This window comes from Homo sapiens, chromosome 12, assembly GCF_000001405.40.
Source record: "Homo sapiens chromosome 12, GRCh38.p14 Primary Assembly".
Classification (NCBI taxonomy): domain Eukaryota; kingdom Metazoa; phylum Chordata; class Mammalia; order Primates; family Hominidae; genus Homo; species Homo sapiens.
This window is the reverse complement of record NC_000012.12, coordinates 128,086,750-128,110,544: the sequence shown is the minus strand read 5'-3', so window position 1 is coordinate 128,110,544 and position 23,795 is coordinate 128,086,750. Positions and strand designations below refer to the sequence as shown.

General features: G+C 42.1%; 1 long non-coding RNA gene across 1 annotated transcript in view, besides 1 other annotated feature; it reads left to right on the top strand.

Annotated features, from left to right (window-relative positions):
* Window positions 1-23,563, top strand: part of LINC02369 (long intergenic non-protein coding RNA 2369) — a 31,160-nt gene extending 7,597 nt beyond the window's left edge. Inside the window, exons 4-5 of the long non-coding RNA NR_104647.1 lie at window positions 22,689-22,816; window positions 23,247-23,563. This is a non-coding gene — a long non-coding RNA (long intergenic non-protein coding RNA 2369). The remainder of the gene's footprint in view (window positions 1-22,688; window positions 22,817-23,246) is intronic.
* Window positions 129-629: an enhancer, noted in NCBI's record as "H3K4me1 hESC enhancer chr12:128594461-128594961 (GRCh37/hg19 assembly coordinates)". NCBI's record gives its function as "activates a minimal SCP1, AML or CMV promoter by ChIP-STARR-seq in primed H9 embryonic stem cells {active_cell/tissue: H9 hESC(primed)}" and the evidence as "EXISTENCE:reporter gene assay evidence [ECO:0000049][PMID:30033119]".
* Window positions 23,564-23,795: the final 232 nt, after the last annotated feature.

Genomic DNA, 23,795 nt, shown 5'->3' with positions numbered 1-23,795 from the left:
TATTTAATATAAGTAAAATAAATATATACACTAATATACCATACGTATATATAACATATTTATATCATATATGTATATTTATACCATACTTTTCACTATTTTTGCCGACCATGTGCATAAAGTCCAATGCCACTTATATTTAGTATACTTTTACTAAATATATATATGTCACTTATATTTAGTATACTTGTACTAAATTTATATATGCATGGCATATACATATACTAAATATATATGTGCTATATATATTATGCATATATACACACATGCATACACTTTGTACATATATTTATTATACATATTTCCCATGAACTACTGGGGATATACTTATACTAAAACTATTTATTGTTAATCCAAAATTCACATTTAATCGGGTCTTGTATTTTTACTCTCTAATGCTGACAACCCTTCTAACTTTAGAACTTTAATGACCTTGGTTGAGGAAGGCCTCACTGCTCCTTTTGAGTAAAGAGACCTGAAGGAGGCAGGTGCAGGAGTCCTGTGTGCCGCTGGCGAGGAGGATTTGTGAACAATGCCAGGCCCTGGGCAGAAGGGTCTTCGCGTGCTAGAGGAACAGGAGCGGCCATCCTGCTGTGACTGAGGAGTGAGGGAGAGGGCTGGGGAAAGGCGGAACAGTGGGCCCCGACGGGGTGAACCTGGGAGGCCGATGCCATGACCCTGGCCTTGACTCTGATGAGCTGGTCCCCCAGGGGAGGGGTCAGCAGAGGAGTGACACCATCTGGGTGGGCAGAGCTTAGGAGGCTCTGTCTGGCTGTTGGTTGAGAGATTCCACAGTCGGCTGGAGTAAGGACATCTGCAGGGAGCACTTGAAGGGCCTGTACTGTCCTCTAAGAGACAGGCGATGGTGGCCAGGACCTGATGTCAACAGAGGCAACAGCGAGACGTGATCAGAGCCTGGACAGGACATAATGGCATCATTTGCAAGGTGTAGTGCAAAATGAAAATGTGGGGCCTCTTGTTTAAAAACTATGAAGAAGTTCATGACCGTGATAGCAGAGCATTGAACCCCTTCCAAGCAAGGGACGCTTTGTGACCGCATGGTCATAAAGGAACCAGGAGGCTGGTCCTGATGGCATCCACAGCATTTGTTCACGAACTGTAGCATGGGAGAGAAAAGGAGACTCCAGCCTGATGAAATAAAGCTGCAGAGCTAGCACGGACCGATGCGGGAGGGGGCTGTGCGAGACACATTCTCAAAGGGGCAGTATTTCCACCAGGGAAAACGGCGGAACATCTTCTGGTCTTTCTAGAACCCAGTTAATTAAACATTAGTCATGCTAATCCCACAGTAATTTACAGTGCTCTTCAGCTCCACTATCCTCACCAACATTTGAAGTGGTGACAAGTTGCTTGCGGGTTGCACATCTGCATGCCGGTGAAAGAGGGTGCAAGGGTAATGTCAGATGTACTTAGTGACTTGCTGAGCATAATGTGATTTAAAAAATAATACTTTAAAATATCCTAATAAGTAAAACACTACATATTGATAGAAGCAATTAAAATTTTATAGATGCAAATAATGCCTGAACTAGAAGGGAACATTTTTCAACGTAAAATTTGTGATTTATATTAGGCGTTTATGTAAAATATATATACAACTTCCTTTCCATAGGAAAGTAATTTTTAAGGTGAAGTAATTATTTTATAGGAAGCTACTGATTTTTATATTTTTTGGTATTATCCACATATTTTGTTTTATTGTTTTTAATACTATACTTTTGTAGATTCTCTTGGGTTTTCTTAAAAGTAATTATATTGTCTGCAAAATAAATAATTTTGCTTTCTCTTCTTAGCCAATATTTATATATTTTGTTTTCCAAAAACTATAATGAGGGATTTTCTCCACAATAGTGACAAACATCATAAAACATGCAGAAATAAATAAGAATGAGATAAACATGTGTATGAATTATATGACGAAAACAATAGAACTCTGTTGAAGACTCATGTTATAGAAAGACTGCCCAATGACATGTACCTTCTCTGGGTATGATTCAACATCAGGGAGAACTCCTTTCCCCCACATTAATCTAAAAATGTGAGACGAACTCTGCTAGCATTCTAGTAGGATATTTATTGGATTTTCACAAAAAATTTTCAAAAGTTAACTTGATATAAGATAAAAGTGAGAAAATTCACTGTTCTCATCTGTAAGATGGAGATATGACAGTGCACACTATATAAGGCCACTGAGGAAGAAATGAATCAAGCACCAACATGCACTGGAACAACAGCACACACTCAAACATGCAAACAGTTGATGTATTTTCACTGTGGTACAGGAACTTCTGTTCTTCTGAAAATGACCATGTCTTTCCATGAGTGGGATTGTTAATTTGCGTAGTTTTAAATTTTGGTTAAATTTAAATTTAAAAAAAGTTGTACTTACATGGATAATAAGATTTTTGATGCTGAAAAAATACAAGTGAGAAAGTCCCAGAAAATGTTAAAGAACCACAAAAAAAAAAAAAAAAAAAAAAAAAAAAATTCAAGGGGTCAGCCTGGTTAGCCACTTAAATAAAAATTAAAGTTAGAGTAATTTAACCAACATTGTACTCATGCAGATATGGACAGGTCCATCAAGAAGAATATAGCCATGAAACCACTCCAAGTATATATGCAAATTTGGAACATTATGGAAATTAAATCACTTTGAAGGAAATTTAGGTTGTTATCTAATTATCAACTATATATTTAGAGAACAAGAAGCTGGCTTCTTACTTTATCCATGTCACCTAGCACAAATCAGATTGATTAAATTTTTAAATGTTCTTCATGAAACTGTTAGTATAGAAGAAAATTAGAGTGAGCAATACTTTTAAAAATAAGGCAAGATAGAACGGGCGCGGAGCCTCGTGCCTGTAATCCCAGCACTTTAGGAGGCCGAGGTGGGCAGATCACAAGGTCAGGAGATCGAGACCATCCTGGCTAATACGGTGAAACCCCGTCTCTACTAAAAATACAAAAAAAAAAAAAAGTTAGCCAGGCATGGTGGCGGGAGCCTGTAGTCCCAGCTACTCAGGAGGCTGAGGCAGGAGAATGGCGTGAACCTGGGAGGCGGAGCTTGCAGTGAGCCGAGATGGTGCCACTGAACTCCAGCCTGGGCGACAGAGTGAGACTCTGTCTCAAAAAAAAAAAAAAAAAAAAAAAAAAGACGGCAAGTTAATTGTAGGTAAAACAATGGGAAAATAATGCAACTCGAAGTTCAATGACAAGGGCACCCCAGGTTCAGCATCTGAGAGGTCAGAGCTGGGTAAAGAAGGGCAGGGTGTAGGTCCAGTGATGGAGAAGGTGGTACAAGAATGATCAGCTTCCTGGGCAAGCTCTGCTCTGTGGGTTTGGACTGAAGACCTGCTCCTGTCTCGATATTGCCATTTGCTGGTTGAGTATCCTTAGGCAACAATATTAAACTTTTTTGAGCTCACTTTCCTCCCCTGAATAGTGGAGGCATTTACTCCTGTTTGTTCACCATACAGGCCTATTCAGTCTTGCTTGAGTTCATGGATGTGAAAACTCCATGCAAACTGTAAAAGTTTGTAGGTTGCAAGAATAAGGGCCACTGTCCCCTTTAAGCAATGACCTTTACCTAGATTCAAGTCAGTTATAGACTTAGAGATGAATGAATTGCAGCAGGAAATGATTTTACATTTCTAATTCCTTCAATGTGTTTTAATGAGTTGATTTAACTCTAACTAAAAATTCATTTAAATTCATTTGCTCCAAGTAAATACAAAAATGAATATTAGATACACTGGGGAAAGAAAAAACTTATTTAATTATATCTGCTCCATTCCCTGGGATCAATCTTTGATTCCCCCGGGTAGGTTGATTCTTCATCCTTCAACCACTGTCTCTTCTGCCCTGGGGAAGTCACATTGAAATCAGCCAAACCTAGCATGTATAAAACAACTTTCGTGCTTGGCCCTGAGATGAGGTAGGGGTGAGCGAGGAAAGTTAGGAAGCATCTTATCAAAAATAAGCTTGTGGTAACAGGCACAAAAGTTACTCCAAAAGATTCAATAAAGTATGCCTCTTTCTACCCTTTCTTGCAATGTGTTTCCCAACTCTAATTCAACCAGCTAGGACATACTGCCCCAAAAGGTGTCACTTATAGCAATCATTCAAATAAAAAGCAATTAAATCAATGTCGAGCTCAGCTTTTGTGTTTCAAAGTAGAACATGGAAAAGACAGAGCCAATGCTCTTGAGAGAGAAAAGCCTTTTTAGTTATAAGAACTTGAGCTTCCTGGAACTTTCGATTTTAGGTTCCGATCTAAACAATAAGTAAAAAAGAATGAGTTTTTCCAAACTCACTTGGAATTGACAAGATTCCATTTGCCTGGGGGAGAGGCAGTGCATAGTCTTAGAAGAAAGGAAGAGAATAAGGTACCCCTTGTCCATGCACCAAGCTTGGGGTGATAGATCCCCAGAGGGTACTTGTGATCTGAGATTACAAGGAACATGGGCCCCTCTTCCTGCCTGGTTGTCTATGCCTGCAGAAAGTACCCTATGTCATCCTGGCATTAAAGAGTAGAGATGGGAACATGGAAGCCTTAAGCCCAGGGGTCTGGGATATGATCCTTTTTATCCTCCCCCCATAAAGAGGGGAGCCAATATCGTCCTCTGTGACTGGGCGTGGCAGAGGCATGCTGCTGAGAACCGCTTGACAAGGATGAATCTTGGAATAGAGACCAGGGTCTGGGTTACATCCTGTGGTTGGGGCAGGACTGGGGACTAGAAATAAACATCTCAAGTGAGGACAGGAGGTCTGATGGTCATACAGGGCCTTGCATCCCCGTGGGCGCATCCCCGTGGGCACCAGAGCTGTGCAGGGAGGGGCTGAGAGCTGGAAGAGAGCCCCCCAGGGCAGTGCTGCTTCAACTCCCTGAAAGTTAGAATCAATTATGCGGAGGCTGGAGGAGGGAGAAATTGATGAATTGAGGAATTTAGCCGAATTATTTGAGATTACCCAGACTTGATGAGTTATATTTTCTGTCACTAGACTGAATTGGGCTGGAAATACAAATTAAGTAGCTATACAGATATATTTTAAAATTATACATATCACACACACATATATAAATATATAACACAAGTAGGTAGATTTAAATATACATTTGATAGAAAATCATTATATATAATGCATATATAATATATATACATTATTATATTACATATTATATATAATATAATCACATTATTATATTATTATATATTATTATATATTATATAATAATATATTATATATTATTATATATTATTATATAATATATTATATATTATTATATAATATATAATATATTATATTATTATATAATATATAATATATTATATTATATAATATATAATATATTATATATATTATATAATATATAATATATTATATAATATAATATATTATATATTATATAATATATATAATATATAATAAGAGTGATATATATTTTATATATATATCACTAACATATATATATCACTCTTAAATCTGTGGATTAAAACCATCTTTACAAAACAAAAAGACACCACTGGGAGGCTCTTTATGGGACATATATCATATCCATCATGGTTCTGCCAGGAAAATGGAACCAGTAGGATCTGGATCTCTGTCTATCTACATCTCGATCTATTTTATTTATTGCAAGGGATTGGCTTATGCAATTGTGGGGGATTAGTAGGCAAGTTTAGGAAGGTCAGGCTGGAAACTCTCAGGCAGGAGCTGGCGCTGCAGTCCACAGGCAGAATTTTCTGTTTTCAGTTCTGCTCTTATGGTCTTTTAACTGAATGTCTCAGGCCGACCAAATTATCTAGGATAGTCTTTGCTTACAGTCAACTGGGCGTTTGGATGACTGGGGACTCTAGCCTGGCCAAGCTGACACGTAAAACTGACCGTACATTGACTAAAGTGACTTTTCCCAGCCAGGGTTTATTCTGTCTTTCCTCAACCCTATGAGCGAGACAGTGGGGTTGAGGTGAGATTGGACTGGAGTGAGGTTTGGGGAGAATGTGCCCCATATGCAGGTGGAGATAGAGGAAGGGTCAACCACCACCATGAGGCCCCCCATGCTGGGTGATGGGAGGAGTGTGGGAACCCAGATGGGAGAAGGTTGGTGGATGAAGATGATTCATGTGAGGCTGGAGGTCCTCAGGTTGCAGCTTCCAGGGCTGTTGTGTAGTAACCAAGTGCACTGCAGTCAGATGGTCTGGGTCCAATCTCTGCTCCAAAATGACGGGCGTGATTTTGTTCAAGTCACAAAAAGTTATTTAGCCTCAGCCTCATCATCTAAAATGGAAGATGCAAAGATTACTCTGATGAGGACCTGGCACCTCTTATCCCCTCAGCAAATACTCTGGGCAATAGACCTTTGGACCTGCAGGGTAAAGACAGCTGAACAAAGTTGACTCTGCCATGAACCAAGAGGGGTTTTATTTTGGGAGAGGGAACTTGGATATTTTGTAGGTGGGAGTGAAACGCAAAACAGCAAAAGAAGAATGAAAATGCAGCCAAGGGAGGGAAAAATACTCAGTAAAGCAAAGTTCAGCCGAGAAGAAATATTCACTTGAAGAGAATGTGTCTGCAATAATCATTTTCCAGTTGTTAATTAAAAGAGAGAAACAAATGTGCTAACAGATTCACTCTAGGAGTTTATTCTAAGGAAATACTTAGAGATGCAGAGAAAGATTCACAGATGATGACTTTTGTTGGAGATGAATTAGAATAGAAAAATATTGGAAACAAGCCAAGAATATCCAACCATAGGAAATAGCTAAGTAAACTAGGAAATGATCATATGGTGTAATATTATGTAACTATCAGAACCATGTTTGTGAATGAAATTATAACAGGAAAATATTTGTGATATGCTATTAAAAACCGCAATGTCAAATTACATCGTGTTTACCCACTCACGTACATCTTCAGAGAAACAAGCAGAAGTAAATAGGAACATGATGTTAACAGCGGCTATCATTGGATGACGTGATGAGAGGAGATTTTAAGGTAGAAAAATTAAGATTTTTTTATTGTTTAACTTTAAAGGGAGGTATATACATGTTCATCATACAAACTACTGGAAAATGTATAAAATCTTAGTAGTAAATTAAAAGTATATGTACATACGTTTATGTATTTAAAAGCATGTGTATATGTACATATGGCTACCAGGAAATTTGCCATGGGCCAAGTGCTGGAGTAAGTAGTTTAAGAATTACTGGGTATAAGTGCTTTTCACAAATCACCACTTCTGGTCCTCACTACAAAACCATAGAGTAGTACCGTTATTACTGTTATTTTATGGATAAAGCTCAGGGCAGTCACACATTTTGACAAAGGTCCTCGGGAGTGAACGCTGGCTTTTAGCTCCAGATGCCGACTGCATAGCTTGAGCTTGCAACCCCTATACTGGCTGTGTAGAGGATTAAAATTAATTAATTAAAATTTTATTTCACTTTATTTTTCTGAGACACGGTCTCACTCTGTTGCCCAGGCTGAGTGCGGTGGTGCAGTCACAGCTCACTGCAGCCTGGACCTCCTGGGCTCAAGCCATCCTCCCATCTCAGCCTCCTGAGTACCTGGGACTGCAGGCATGCACTATCATGCCCGGCTAATCTTTGTATTTTTTGTAGTGGGCTGGGGGGCGGGGGTGCCTCACTATGATGCCTAGGCTGGTCTCAAACTCCTGGGCTCAAGCGATCCTCCTGCCTCGGCTTCCCAAAGTGCTGAGATTACAGATGTGATCCACTGCATCCAGCTAATTAATTAAAATTTTAAACACAATTGGTCACCGACTTTATTATACATTGTATTTATTGATATATTTTTACATTCTATCATAATTAGTATTTTCCTGCACTACATAAGATGACTGAAAGCATGGGCTTTACCGGCTGCACTCTTACGTGTTGCCATTGCGCTTCGCAGATGCTCTGTCTCTTTGCCTGTTTGTCATTCTTACCCCCAGGTCCCTTTTGGCTCCTGGCTTTCCAATAGATAGACAACATTTCATCATGACTTCCTCCGTCCCTGCGATGCCTAGTCCTTTGGGAGACAACATCTCTGATTTTCATTGTTCTCTTTCTTTCTTCTAGCTATACACTTAAAGTTTATTTTTAACCCAGGGCACATGATGAACATCAAGAATGAAAGATTTAAAAGATGAAACATGGACTTATTTCTTCTGCAAAGGACTGGCAGAACCAGAGGCATATTCAGGGTCTCTACCCCTTTCTCCATTTCTTAGATTTTACTGATGTTATTTAGGTTATCAACAAAGGATTGAACCTTCAGATTACTGTGACTCATATAACTTTAGGTTTTCCTGTTAATCTATAGACAGAAGAACGTACTTACATTTGACTTAATCTGTAGCGATGTCAGTTAAGGTCCCAGGATAAAAGAGGTAGCACGACAGATTGGCTGGCTTTCTAATTTAATAAAGAACCAATTTAACAATGTGTGGGGAATTTTGTGTGATTCCACTTCATTAGATGTCCAGAACAGGCAGATCTAATAAGGCAGTAGGTAGATCAGTGGTCGCTCAGGGTGATAGATTGGAGGGTGGCAGGGCACAGGTGTGTGATTTATTTTTGGGGTAACAAAAGTGTCTAAAAGTTGATTGTGGTGATAGTTGCACACATCTGTGAATACAGTCAAAACCACTGCATTGTATATTTAAGTGGGTGAATTGTATGGTCTATGAGTGCCAGCTCATTAAATCTATTAGGAGATGCATGCGTGATGGTGTAGTTCTGAAGTGAGTGAGTGAAGGGTGAAGGGGTGAGAGTAGGGAGTTGCTGCTAGAGAGACAGCTGGGTGGAGGGACAGCTTGAGAAGAGTGGCGAATTGGGGGTGGGTCCCAGCTAGCCTGTAGTGACCATGCAGAGATGGAGCCAGGAATCCATACTCTTCCCCTAGGGTTCTCCACTGGTCCACCCCAACTGAGTGCCAGAAAGCACCCCATGCCTTGGTGGTGGCTACACTGGGTTCCTTCTCCAGGTAGAGACCAGGTGGAGAAGAAGGAGAGCAATCTGCAGGGATTAAAGGGATGTATCCAGCAGAGTAACTGATTTTAAAGAAGGCATCCAGGCTTTTTAGACCTCAACTTTCCCCGTGTTGACATTTTCTAAACTTTTCATTAATATCACAGTTAACTAGAATATGTGCTTGAGCTCGTGTTCTCAAGGAGGTCCCTGGGGTAGGCAGTCAGCAGGATGGTCCCCAGTGTCCCTGTCCTCAGTGTCACCTCCCATGTAGATGACTGCCATACTGGGCCACGGCAGATCTGTGTGAGGAATATCATACGGCAGGAATGCTGGGCTGTCCCTGCTGAGATTTGGTCATGAAAGATGTCTATCTTGGTTTTTCTCTCTCTCTCTCTCTCATCACTCTGGGGAAGCAGCTGCCATGATGCCCGGGCCACCCTACAGAGAGGCCAACATGGGGAGGGGCCGAGACTGCCAGCCACATGAGTAAACCAGCCCCATTCAAGCCTTCAGATGATGCAGCCTCCATAACAGCTTGACTGAACCTTACGAGATACCCTCTGCCAGCCCACCCAGCTCTGCTGCCCCTAGATTCTTAGCCATCAGAAATTGTGTGTTGTGGCCAGGTACGGTGGCTCATGCATGCAATTCCAGCACTTTGGAGGCCAAGGTGGGCACATCATTTGAGGTCAGGAGTTCAAGACCAGCCTGGCCAATGTGGTGAAACCTCATCTATACTAAAGATACAAAAATTAGCCAGGCTTGGTGGTACATGCCTGTAGACCCAGCTCTTTTGGTGTCTGAGCTGAGATCACACCACTGCACTCCAGCCTGAGCTTCAGGATGAGACTCTGTCTCAAAAAAAAAAACAAAAAAAAACTGTGTGTTGTTTTGGGCTGCCAATTTTTGGGGTACTTTTTTATTGAGATGGGGTCTCATTGCTTCCCATGCTAATCATAGCTCATTGCAGTCTCCAACTCCTGGGCTCAGGCAATCCTCCTGTCTCCTCGGCTTCCCAAGTAGCTGGGATTACAGGCATGTACCACCACACTGAGATAATTTTTTTTGTAGAGATGGGGTCTCACTATGTGGCCCAGGCTATTTTCCAACTCCTGTGCTCCAGTGATCCTCCTGCTTTGGCCTACAAAAGTGTTGGAACTACAGGTGTGAGCCACTGTGCCCAGCTTGGAGTAATTTTTTTATACAGCAATAGATACGTAACACAATCACATCAATAAGTCTTTGTTAACATACTCTGATAACTAATCAAAACTTACCTGTCACTGTAGTCTTCTTTCCTTCAGGGGTATCCCTGAATTTGTATTACTATCAAAGTTTTAGCTGATTGTCTCCCAGATTGACTGTGAATTTTATGATGGCAGGAGACAGACAATGTTTAATTTTTGTTTTTAAATCAAACAGCTCTGTGCCTGGCTCAAAGCATGGTTTTGGATGAAATAAATGGAAAAAGGTACAGAAACAAAAAAGTTCCTGGGAAGTGTTGGGGCTCCAAGAGTTGCAGTGTAGACAGTGCCTCCTTTCAAAAATTGCTTAGAGCAGACAGGGCCCTGAGTTTAAAACAAGATTGAAAGGCATTTTACAATATTCCTGAACTCCCCTCTTTGTACCTAGAGGGAAAAGACTGCAGCTTATTCGGACAGTGTGATGGAATGGCTTAGACTATCTCGCATTCATATTCAGAGGCGAGGAGATAGTGCCATGTTCCGTGTGAGCAATTCTCCATCTTAAGAGTTTGCATAGTGAGCAACGAAAAAAAAAATTAGTTTCGTGGAATGATGTTCTCCAGAGCAAAGAGCCCATGCTGTTTTAACCTCAGAATCACAGCTTCAGTGCAAATGGGGTTTGGCATTTTACAAAAGGAGCTGCATCATGGTTGGGGTCATGAAGGGAGCCATCATGGGTAGCTTCAATCAACAGTATTATTTGTGAACGAAAGGTCGTGATGTCTTGGTTGTCAAAACAGGCTTTTCTCCCCCTACACATAAAATTCTCTTCACCCTGAGCCACATCACAATGGGATGTCACAGGGACTTTTACAGGTAGTAATGATGCCAGGTTGATATAATGGGGTGGAGACCAGGTGCTTAATTTAACCTTTATTCCATTCATTTATAGGTTCTTTTACAGCTGTCATCACACTTAAAAATTGTAAAAGGAAAAGACAGCTTTCTGAGTCTCCTTGTCATTACCTGAGAAAAGGTTCTGTGACATTTTGAGTTGTATTTTTCTTCCTGAACCATTTCCAGACTTTCTGGAATGCACAGAGGCCACCAATGACATGCGTGCCAATAAGGAGAAGGGAAAAAGGAGATTACTCTTTGGGTTTCTGGGATACGTTGAACAAATGCTAGAAGAAAAATGAGCCAAGGAAATAGCTGTGTTGTTTGGATTACAGCAGTGGGCAGCAGGGGTGCCGGGCAGTTGGCTGGGCTACCTTGCCCACACACACATGCTGGGGCTCCTGGAGGCCCCAACAGGGCAGCAGGGCCAGGACCTGGGCCCAGATTGGCAGATGGAGCAGCAGCAGAAAGATCAACAGTGGTGAAGGCAGCAGCTGCCCAGGAGAGAGAAAGGGCTCATGTGAGCAGCACGTGGACAAGCCGTGGGCGGCCGGCTGGCCTGTCAGCCCACAGAGTCCATTTCTGTGACATCTGTACAAAGATAGAAACTCGTCAGTAGTTATTACCAAATAAAAGCATTCGCATGGAAATTTTACCAAAGCATATAATGGAGTTAGAGGAGGCTTCTGAGTTAGAACCTCTTGTTTTGAAAACTGTTGCAACATTGCAAAGCAAATATCCACAGGTTAGATATAGACATTGAATTGAAAGATCATTGCATTCAGTGGGAAATAACTCTATTTTCATATGAAGCTTTGGATGAACCAGTCATTAACAAAGAAATAATTTAAAATAAAGTTTTCTTAACTGATAATGGAGCAGTAGAACATGTTTTGAATCATAAACAAATCATGAAGCCACTTTCCACTTTTTTAAAGACCCCTGTAAGGTACAGGAGATGTCTAAGGAAATGTTAAAATGCCATTGTGTTAATTCTCACTTAAAATTCAATCCAGACTGACACAAAATCGACGTATATAAATATTTAAATATTTTTAGAAAAATCATTCTGCAAGTATCATCAGCTCATGGTGGACTAAAACATATATTTCACAATAATTTTCCAGAAATGTATCTCAAATTTGTTGCAGCCTATAAAGTATTCTTAATTGCTCCAGTAACGGCTGCATCAGCAGAAAGATCCTTCTCAAAATTAAAAATTATCAAAAATCATTTGCATTTTCCAAAAGCAACCGACATCTCTTTCAATTACATAGACGGAAAATGAAATTGCCAAAAGTATAAATTTTGACGATCTAATAAGTGAATTTGCAAAAAGGCAACCAGAAGAATTTATGATCAATCAATATATCACCTTATCAATCACCTTATCAAGTATTTTTTGTACTGTATACTATCCTGACATCCTATTTTATTGACTAATGGATTTAATTGAAAACTAATAATTGTATGTGTCATGGAGTACAAAGTGAAGTTTGATCTATGTATGTATTGTAGAAAGATTCAATCAAACCCATGAACATATCTATCACATTATCAACTTATAATTTTTTGTGGTGAGAACATTGAAAATTTATTATTTTAACAATTTTGAAATATGTATGATTATTACCTGTGGTCATCATGCAATGTGATAGATCATTAAATCCATTCTTCCAGTCTAACCGAAACTCATACCCTTAGATCAGCATCTCTCCTTTCTTCATTCCTGCCCTGCCCCCAGCCTCCGGCAACCACCTTCCTTCTCTCTCTTTATGAGATCGACTTTTTCAGATTACACATGTAAGTGAAGCAGTATTTGTTTTTCTGTGCCTGTCTTAATGTCACTTAAAATAATGCTCTTTCCATCCATCCATGTTGTTACAAGTGACATAATTCCTTTTTTTAAAGGCTGTATCATATTGCATGTATATATCGTGTATACATATCATATTTTAAATTTATTCATCCATATGACACCTTTTTCTTTTTATTTTCCTGAAATGGAGTCTTGCTCTGTCACCCAGGCTGGAGTGCAGTGGCGCAATCTCAGTTCATTGCAACCTCTGCCTCCTGGCCTTAAGTGATTCTCCTGCCTCAGCCTCCCTAGTAGCTGGGATTATAGGCACCTGCCACCACGCCCGGCTAATTTTTGTATTTTAGAAGAGACACGGTTTCACTATGTTGGTCAGGCTAGTCTCGATCTCCTGACCTCAGGTGATTTGCCCTCCTTGGCCTCCCAAAGTACTGGGATTACAGTTGTGAGCCACAGTGCCCAGCCAACACCATATATATATATTTTTTTTTTTTTTACAGGTAATACATTTTTAAAGGAAAGAGCTTTATATTTGAATATCTTTGGCTTCACTTTCCTCCCACTTTCTGTACAAGGGACCCTCAGCACCACGATGTGCATCTTAGAAATGGAGACTCATCATAGCTGTTGGATGGTGATTGAACCTGGGCTTCCAAAATGCAACAGGAGGCTCTCCCAGCGTGAAGGCAGTGTCTCTGCTATACGTGAGCTGCAACTGTCAACCACACAAGACTTCAAAGCACTTAAAAACCACCCCCATGCTCTGCCTTGAGCCCTCAAGAGGCGTTAGAACATCCATCCTTCAACTGCAGAATCCCTGCACCTTGAATCAAACCTGTGCACCCTCTCCCCTCCTTCTGCCTCTTTATCCTTCGTCTTAGACATGTCAATGGGAGGACGAGGTGCTGTGCCTATCCTGGGCTAGAAATTTGTGGATAGAATCGTGAGCAACTACATTTTGTTTCTCTCCCATTAACTGAAATTCTACACAACATGCTAAGAGTTTTATGCCTGAAACGCAGGCCAGCTCTATCTTTCTCCCTGGTTTAGCATTAACCAGCACCTCACTATGACTGAGGATGTTTTAAGACAAACCTCCACAACAACGCATGCAAAGCACATCTTGAGTGATTAAATTTTCATATCTGTAAAAGAGAAATACTTCATAGTACCTATCTCGTGGGGTTTTTGTTCAATTAAAGCTCTATTGCAGGTGAGATGATGGATGATACCATGTTTAATATTTTCACTATTATATTACAATTATATGGCATTAGCCCGGCCATGCAAATACGTGTGTAAGCTCTGTGACTTCCCACTAGTGGCAAGTGAGTTCTTAAGAATGTTGCTTTCCTTTTGTGTCTTTGGTGGTGCAAATGGTTTCAATGAAGATTGTCTAATCTAAAGCCTGCTGATTTTCATATCTATGAAATAAAAGTGAGAGCAAATTTTCTGTCTGAAATATACTTGTATATAAACCATCAACTCCTATGTTTTTGTTGTGTTCTATTTTTGCAATTCTCTTTCATGTTGGGGAAAAAGTGCCTATTTTGTATTCTACATATTGGCATCCACTTTGTGGCATTTATATATTTTGATACATGGAGCATTTTATTTTTAAAATTATGGATGAATGAATTAAGCCTTTCTCATGTCATGTCAAATTGCTTTAGTTCTGGAAGAAAACAGGCAGAAGATGTTTGTGCCCTAACCCTTTGTGTCTTTGGAAGTTTACAACACTTCCCTAGTTACACCGGAAGCCTCTCTGATGGATTCTGTATTATTATTATTATTAATTTTTTAATTCTTAATTTTTTGGGGGTACATAGTAAGCATGTATATTTATGGAGTACACGAGATATTTTGATACTGGTATTTGCGTGGATTCTTTTTTTTTTTTTTTTTTTTTTGAGACAGAGTCTCACTCTGTTGCCAGGCTGGAGTGCAGTGGCGTGATCTTGGCTCACTGCAACCTCCAACTCCCGGGTTCAAGCAATTGTCCTGCCTCAGCCTCCCGAGTAGCTGGGACTAAAGGAGTGTGCCACTACGCCTAGCTAAATCTGCAATCTGCATGGATTCCTAAAGATGGAAGAGGAGACTGGATCCTTGTTCCCCAAACCCACTTGCTTTCCTTCCTGGTTATGTTTTATTTCCAGCCCCCAGGAAGTTCACTGTGGTCATGGGACTGGCTTCCAGCCAGTGGCAGGGGAGCAAACATGATGGCACTGCCTTCCTAGACCAACCTGTGTGAAGCTCCCATCCATAATCCTGCATGTTCCATCCTCCCCCACCTGCTCAGTGCCCAGCAGCACTGGAACCTCAGAAGCCATATGTTAGAATGAAGGAGCCAAAGATGGGAGAGCCTAAACATCCCCTGGAGAAAAGCCACTCACCAAGGGCATTGGCTTTGAAATTTCTGAGTGGGAAATAAACTTCCCACCATATCTATATATCTATATCTATATCTATATCTATATCTATATCTATATCTGGTTTTGATTGTTTTATTGTCTCATTTTACCTTAACTGTTATAAAGACCAAAAACAGAATTGGAACCAAGGCTTTGGTTTCTAAGTAATGGAGACTCTTTCAGTTCAGTTGCTGACTCTGATTCTTTTGGCCAGCACACCAATTGCTTCCTAACGTTTTCTCCTATCAGTTCCAAAAAGTGATCAGTGGGATAATTAAGGGATGCTGGGACCACCAGAAACCTTTCAATAATTATCCCTTGCTGATACTGCAAACAGACGCAGTGGTGGGGAGGCACTTGGCAGTGTTATGTCTCAAGGTGATCATCTCCATTGGGTTTTAGCCAGGGGATCCCAGCACTGGGTTGGAACAGAGTAGGCACTTACACAACATACTCCTAATCAAAAATTGATCTGGCATCTACGTTGTCAGAGAATTTCTTATCAAACTCTTGGAAAGTATTTTTTCAGCTGTTCGCTAAGGGGAAAGCCTTCTTTTGCTTGACTTTTCAGGGATTCTCTGGAACCAGCTCAACTGATTATTTTTTCTTTTACCTACAATGGCAAGACTTTAAATAGATATTTCCTTTAATAATGTATTACCTATTAAAAAATGATGTCATATGGCCAGGCATGGTGGCTTATGCCTGTAATCCCAGCACTTTGGGAGGCCAAGGCAGGCGGACCACTTGAGCTCAGGAATTCGGAGCCAGCCTGGCTAACATGGCAAAACTCTGTCTCTACAAAAAGTACAGAAAATTAGCTAGGCGTGGTGGCATGCACCTGTAGTACCAGCTACTTGAGAGGCTAAGGCAGGAAAACTGCTTGAGCCCAGGAAGGGGAGGTTGCAGGGAGCTAAGATTGGGCCATTGTACTCCAACCTGGCTGTTGGGAGTAAAATCCTGTCTTAAAAAAAAAAAAAGTTATCTTATGGATGAATAGATTCAAAATGTGACATGTATATACTTTTTTTTTAACCTAAAATATCAAAGAACATGCAAGTTAATAGAAAAAAATTGCAGGTTTGCATGATCATGATGTTATTAGAAAGGAAGGCTTAATATCTTCTGCGCAACTGTAGAGATACAAACCCTAGTTCTTATCTCTGCATAGAGAACTAAGGACACCCCCTGCCCCCACTCCCACCTCTCAAATGAGCACAAACTCTGCATGCCATCCAGACTCCTGTGCTATGATGTTGCTCTGGGCTTTTGCTTCATTTCTTTCCATTTCTGGTTTTCACAGAGGAGAGCAACTCAATTTATCATCTCTTGGGCCAAAGTATCCATTTGGGGCTATCTATTTATATACATGCCTAGCAGTCTCCTAGGCCTGGCTGATTCTGGAGAAAGCTGAATGATAACAGCCAAAGAGTCCCCAAAGAACTGCTCAGTCCCTCTGTGCACCCCCAACAGAAGCATGTCACCCCTTTTCCATCTGTACAAAAGCAGGCAGGCCCTGTGAGACTCTTTCCCATGAGGTTGGGTTTTGTGGGTGATAATATGGCCCACAACACAGGCTATATTATCAGAAGAACTTTGGGTTTTAGAGGAGATTTCTTAATATTTTTTTAACCTTGAGAACACCCCTCCTGGAGAAATGAACATTCAAAGCTAATTCCCCAGAGAGTTTCTGGCTTTCCAAGAACTTTGGGAAAAAGAGGAAACCTTATCACTGTTGATTCACCAGGCAGAGCCATCTTCTGCAGTTGACTGTCCCAAATGGTCAACCCTCTCCTGAATAGAAATGGCTTCAGGTTGTTTTCATGTATATGACTAAAATTATACTCTGGGCAATAACTTTAAGTTATTGTTATTAAGTTTTAAGTTATTGTTATTTTAAGTTATTGTTTAGTTATTGTTTTAGTTATTGTTTTATTGCCTATTTTCCTTCTCCTCATCCCAGCAGAAACACAGCTGTCTGTTCATTGCCTCAGGAGAGTATGGAACAGGGAGGAAAGCAGAGGTGCCTTCAGTTCTTACTAACATGGTTAAAGAGTCTAGGGCAAGCTTATCCAACACATGGCCCAACACAAATTCGTAAACTTTCTTAAAACATTATGACATTTTTTTGAGATTTGTTTTTTAGCTCATTGGCTATTGTCGGTGTTAGTGTATGTTATGTGTGGCCCAAAACAATTCTTCTTCTACCATTATTGCCCAGAGAAGCCAAAAGATTGGGCACCCCTGGTCTAGGGCTTAGGAGACTCTAACAATATGAGTAGCCAACACCTGCAAAGTTCTGGGCACAGCTCTAAGCCCTTTATGTTTACTAACTAATCAAATTTTCACAACATTAAAATAAGTACTATTACTATGTGGAAGTAGACAAAGACCAAATGAGAACAGACACAGGCCCTTTATCCAGATCTTTCTAAAACAAGGGAGTCAGCCACCATGGTTCATGCTGGGCAGAGATTCAAAGGCAGGGAGACGAGAGGGAAAGATTTATAGAGAAAAAAAAGCAAGACTTCCTGTGTGCCCAGATTGGAGGCTGTGTGGGATAACTAGAAGCAGCACATATTCCAGGATTATTCTGGGGCCCATATTTGGCTGCCTCTGGTTGATCTTGAGTAGAAAGTGAGGGCAAACATTACCAAGTCCTGACTCTTCTGCACTGATTGCAGAAACTGTAGCTTGCTTTCCTGGGCTGGTCTTTGCAGAGGAAGTGGGTCAGCATTCTAATGTCATATATGGTCCTGCCATTGTCCATTTTTATATTCAGTCTTCCACCCTATCATCCTCATACTGCAGATGAAATTGACACGGGGAGGGAGAAAGGAACTTGCTCAAGTTTGCACAGCTAGTAGCTGCCCAGCTAGGATCTGAGCACAGGAAACTCTGTATCGAAGCTGGAGCTCTGAGGGACGGCACTGCCCCTCTGCAGATAACTTGGCGGCTGCTGATGGATACCCACATTCACCTGATCAGACACTGGAATCATAATCTGTTGTTTGCTGTTTAATAATCACGATGTGCATAAATGCGGGTGCTGATAAGGGTTGCATGGCTTGTAATAAACAAGGAGATGATTCCAGGCATGCTGAGCGTTATTCGCTGTGAAGAGGATGACGTGGTGCATTAACTTTGCTTATCACTGGCTCAATCTGGTCTAATGGCAAAGCAATTTCGCTGTGGACATGGAGGCTTCCTGGCCAAGCCTGAGTCTCTTCATTCTAAGTGCATTTGAGCCCTGTCTGTCCCTTTGTTAAATAAACAACCTCCATCCTCACTAAGCCACGATTTACATACCTAAAAATTCAATAGTGCATGTACATAAGCATTAGAAATCCCACAAAAGTACCCTTCAGGCTTCTGTCAAGCTCAGCCACATTTTTATAATGATGCCTTCAGTAAAGGATTGTGTGTCTTATTTTTGCAGCATGTTTTTAAGTTTGTTGACATCAAAGTGGTTTTAAAGGCAATTCTTAATATTCTTTTCCTCTCCTTTTAAATGTATGTTTTCACTCACATCTTCCCACCGCATCGGTAAACATCGAAGCCTTCTGACAAGGCCACTTAATTATCAGCTGCACTGGCTGGAAATGCTCCTTTATCAGCACAGAGCCTGATTCTTTTGTGCGGCCAGTGAGGGTCTCTGAAAAGGCTGCCGCTCCTGCGTTAATCACTGTTTGGAGCCAACTCTTAGACCATGCAATTATTTCAGTGCTTCTGAAGGCTTGCTTGTTATTGTGGCTGGATTATCTTGGCATTGAATTGTTGCCCCATCAGCCCATCAATCCTCCAAAGAGATTGTGCTTGAGACTCAAGAAGCGATAAGCAAATAAGTGACTTTCTGTGAGTGTACACGAGCCGGCTCCATCCGGGCTCCTAAGAAGCAATAACATCGGAGTGCTCTGTGTGTTCATCCCTTCAATGGCAATGAGGCAACTTGGTATCTGCAACCACCAGGACAAGTGCAACGCATGGGAGGCCAGCCCCAGGGGAGGCCTTAGAAGTTAAGCTCTTGAGGCCATTCAGAGCTGATGGTTTTTCTAATTTGGGAATTGGAGAGCTAGGAGAGACGGAAGAGAGAGAGAGAGTGAAAACTGAGTGTGTTCCCTGATTCTGTGCTGGGGAAGAAAATTAGTAAGAAATAAAATCTGAAGGATTGAGAGAGAAACACGCTTGGCTTCTGTCTTGATGGCTCACGCCTGTAATTCGAGCACTTTGGGAGGCTGAGGTGGGAGGATTTCTTGAGAGCAGGGGTTCAAAACCAGCCTGGGCAACATAGTGAGATCCTGTCTCTACAAAAAAATTTAAAAAATTAGCTGGGCATGGTGGTGTGTGACTATGGTCAGGCGGCTGAGGTAGGAGGATTGCTTGAGCTGGGAGGCTGAAGCACAGTGAGCTATGATCACGCCACTGCACCCCATCCTGGGCGACAGAGGGAGATGCTGTCTCGAGAGAGAGAGAAAGAGAGAGAAAAAGAGAGAGAGACAGAGAGAAACAATAGGAACATTGTGAACTACAAAGGATGGGTAATTTTTTTTTCTCCCTTTCTTTTAATCAGTATTTCCTAGTGGTTTGGCACTAACATGAACTATTTGTCTTGTTAAAAGAAAGGATTGAGCCGGGCGTGGTGGCTCATGCCTGTAATCCCAGCACTTTGGGAGGCTGAGACGGGCGGATCACAAAGCCAGGAGATCGAGACCATCCTGACTAACATGGTGAAACCCCGTCTCCACTTAAAATACAAAAAATTAGCCAGGTGTGGTGGTGGGCGCCTGTAGTCTCAGCTACTCAGGAGGCTGAGGGAGGAGAATGGTGTGAACTCAGGAGACGGAGCTTGCAGTGAGCCAAGATAGTGCCACTGCACTCCAGCCTGGGCGAGAGTGCGAGACTTCGTCTCAAAAAAAAAAAAAAGAATTAAAATAAAATCCCCCTTGTGTCACCTTACATCCTTATCATCCTTACCAACCACTGTCCCCTTTTCCACTCTCTCGAGGCCCTGGGGATGGGCGCTTCATCTTCACGGCTGGTGCCTCATGGTCACAAGGGGGCAGAAGAGTCCCCTCCCCATAACTGAACCACATAGAGAAAGGACATGGGGGAGAACCCATAGGTTTCCCTGTTCCCTGGAGTCCTCTCCCAGAAGATTCCTGGCAACTGTCCAGTTTATACCCTTAGGTCCCTTGACCACCCCAGCAGCACAGGAAGCCAGGGCAGTGAGGTCCCAACAAAGGGAGGCAGTCCAAAATGTGGATGTTCATGGAAAGTGTCCACATGCGGCTGCTGAGCATGGAATCTGGAGAGAAGGAAGGGTTGACTGCAGTTGACACAACAAGTGTTGGCCACCACCTTCACCATCCCCTCATCTAGAGCCCCCCATACCCAGGTTCCCCACTCCAGTGTGGATTCAGCCCTCCCTCCACCATGCCCACATTCACACGGAACCTCCATCCCCTCAGCTTCTGGCACCCAAGGCAAAGGCCTGAGGAGCACAGCCATTCCACGTGACTCCAACATTTATATTATGCTGATTGTGTAGCTTCTTTTTTTCTTTTTTTCCACAGGTTCTTGGTCTGTTGCCCAGGCTAAAGTGCAGTGGTGCAATCACAGCTCACTGCAGCCTTGAACTCCTGGCTCAAACGATCCTCCCACTTCAGCCTCCTGAGTAGCTGGGACTACTTGTGAGCCACCACACTCAGCTAATTTTTGTATTTTGTTGTAGAGACTGGATTTCACCTTGTTCTCCAGGCTGGTCTTGAACTCCTGGCCTCAAACTATCCACCTGCCTTGACCTCCCAGAATGCTGGGATGAGAGGCCTGTGCCTGGCCAATTGTGTGGTTTTTGATGAGCCCGCAGAAGACTCTTCAGAGGACTTTTGGGTTTTAGACGAGATTCCTTAAATTGTTTTTTAATGTAAACCCCTCCCAGTTTAATGAACATTCAAAACTACTTCCCCAGGGAGTTTATGGCTTTCCAAGAGCTTTGGGAAAAGGAGGAAGAGTTGCCACTGTTTGACTGACCAGGAAGCCCTGTCTTCTGCAGTTGATTGTCCTGGCAGGCCATCCCCATCCTTCTGGGCTCAGGTTTATGCTCAGATGCCTGGCATCCCACCATTGGCAGCTGCCTGCCTTCAACATTGCCCTGGCTGGGTTTCCACTTTAGAAGCAAATGCAGCATCTGCAGGAATGGGAAAGAAAGTAACACAAGTGACTCTGATGTATCTCACAGTGACCTCAGGGACACTTCATTCCTGGTGGGGTCAATGGACAGAGAATCTTGGATGAAGAGGAAGCATCACTAGAGTCACAGTGGATGTTGGGCTTGGATTCTACAAACAACACAGAGGGAGAAACTGAGATGGTCAAAATAACTGAATAAAACTGAATCAACACAGCAGAGGAGTTATCCTTCTCAGGAAGATGCACAGCTGCTAATGTTGTAGGCACAGGTTTAGGGCACATGCTCTATGAAAAATACAAATCTTTAAATATTAGAATAACACAATACAGAGAGAGATGCTACCAGCAGGAGAGGCCCCAGAAACTGCAGCCAAATGTAGATGTCTCATCCCACTCCCCAGGGCAGAGGACTGAGCATTAATGAAATTAAGTATTTCTTGTTCTAAGTTCTCTCTCCAATTGAGCTGTAAATACTTAATTTATGTTTGGTTGAGTGTAACATTGCTCCATTGGATGGTGTATTAGTCTGTTCTTCCACTGCTATAAAGATACTATCCAAGATTGGGTAATTTATAAACAAAGGAGGTTTAATGGACTTACAGTTCTGCATGGCTGGGGAGGCCACAGGAAACTTACAATCATGGAAGAAGAGGAAGCAGGCACATCTTACATGGCAGCAGGAGAGAGAGAGAGAGAGAGTAAATACATGAAGGAGGAACTGTCAAACACGTATAAAACCATCAGATCTTGTGAGAACTCACTCACTATCACAAGAACACCATGGGGGAAACCGCTCCCATGATCATATCATCTCCCACCAGGTCTCTCCCACAAAACCTGGGGATTACAATTCAAGATGAGATTTGGGTGGGGACACAAAGCCTAACCACATCAGATGGACTGGGGAAGAATTTTAACTAAAACCAATAAGCAACCAAGAAACTGAGCAGGAGTTGTGAGTGGGAGGCGGAGGACCCTCACTCCAATTTACTAAAATCATAGAACAGCAGATCCAAAGAAGGCGTCAGGGTCATTTGCTCAGTGCCCCCGCCCCCACCTTGACCTGAGATTCTATCCCCAGCAGCCCTTTCCAGAGCATGAAGATTTTGCGAAGTGGAGAGAATTATACAAAATCACTTGATGATAAATACTGGAGGTGGCTGAAATAACTCGTGTTTTCTTTGTTTTTAAGGAGCTGCTTTAGGATGGAAGATGAGGCTTGCTTTTTCTTTCTCCTAGAAGTCAGCATTTTACATGATTCTGGGAGGGAAGAAAGGAGACAGGAACCAAGGAGCCTGAGTGGGGATTTGCCCACCACTGGTAAGGCCCTGCCTCCACTCTGAGCTGTTGCCAGGCCGTGAGTGAGCCTGGTGTGCTATGCAAGGTGTTTGGTTTCTCATCTGCACCCCTTCATCCCATCTCACCTGGACCCTTTTTCATCCCAGGAGCTGGCCATATGCTGTGTTATGACTCAGGGCAGGAATGTTGCACCAGAGAGAAAGGAGTTTCTTTGATTTTTAAAATTTGGGGAAGGAATAGTGAATCGTCAGAACACAAGAAAAAAATATTTATTAAGAGTCACAATTCCTGCCTCAAAAAAATGGAAAAGGATTTATTCTGTTGGAGGTGACAGTAAAATAGAATGGTGAAAAGAATTGGGAGAATATGATGAGCGGGACTGAGGGGAACTGGTTCTAAAGGACCCCAGGAAAAGGGTTCAAATGCCTTCCCTTCCCTTGTTTATTCCTAGGGCAGCCAGGCTCCCGTCAGGAAGGCTTTTCAGAGGGAGTGTTGGAAGGAGTCGTCGAGGAGTCTTCCTCACCCAGGAAGTCTTCCTCACCGGGTGAGCCCCAACCTGCTGGACCTGCTCAGAATTTGCCCAACAGGGGATCCTGGTTGACTGAGGTCTGCTAATTCCAACTGGCCTACGCTAAATTCTCCCAGAATGTCTTCATCATCAATGAATCGCTTTCCACTGACACGACGCCTGGAAGAACATAAACACTGTGAGGATAAATGCCAATGAAATAATAATAAAATAAACTTTCTTTGGTGGCCAGAGGGAAACAGAATGCCTACCCATTTCCCCACCCCCCGCCCCGCCGCTGCCCCTTGCAGGATTTCTTTTAGAAAACTAGTATTTGTAAATCATTTTCCTACCTATTGGAGATGAGTGCCAACCTTTTTAAAGGCCAAGTGAGCCTCTTTTTTTAATACTCTAGGAATGCGTCTTGGAGGGGTTGCAGTCATCTTTTTGGGATCTGAACATTCATTCACAGCTGTCAGCTTATGTCCTTGT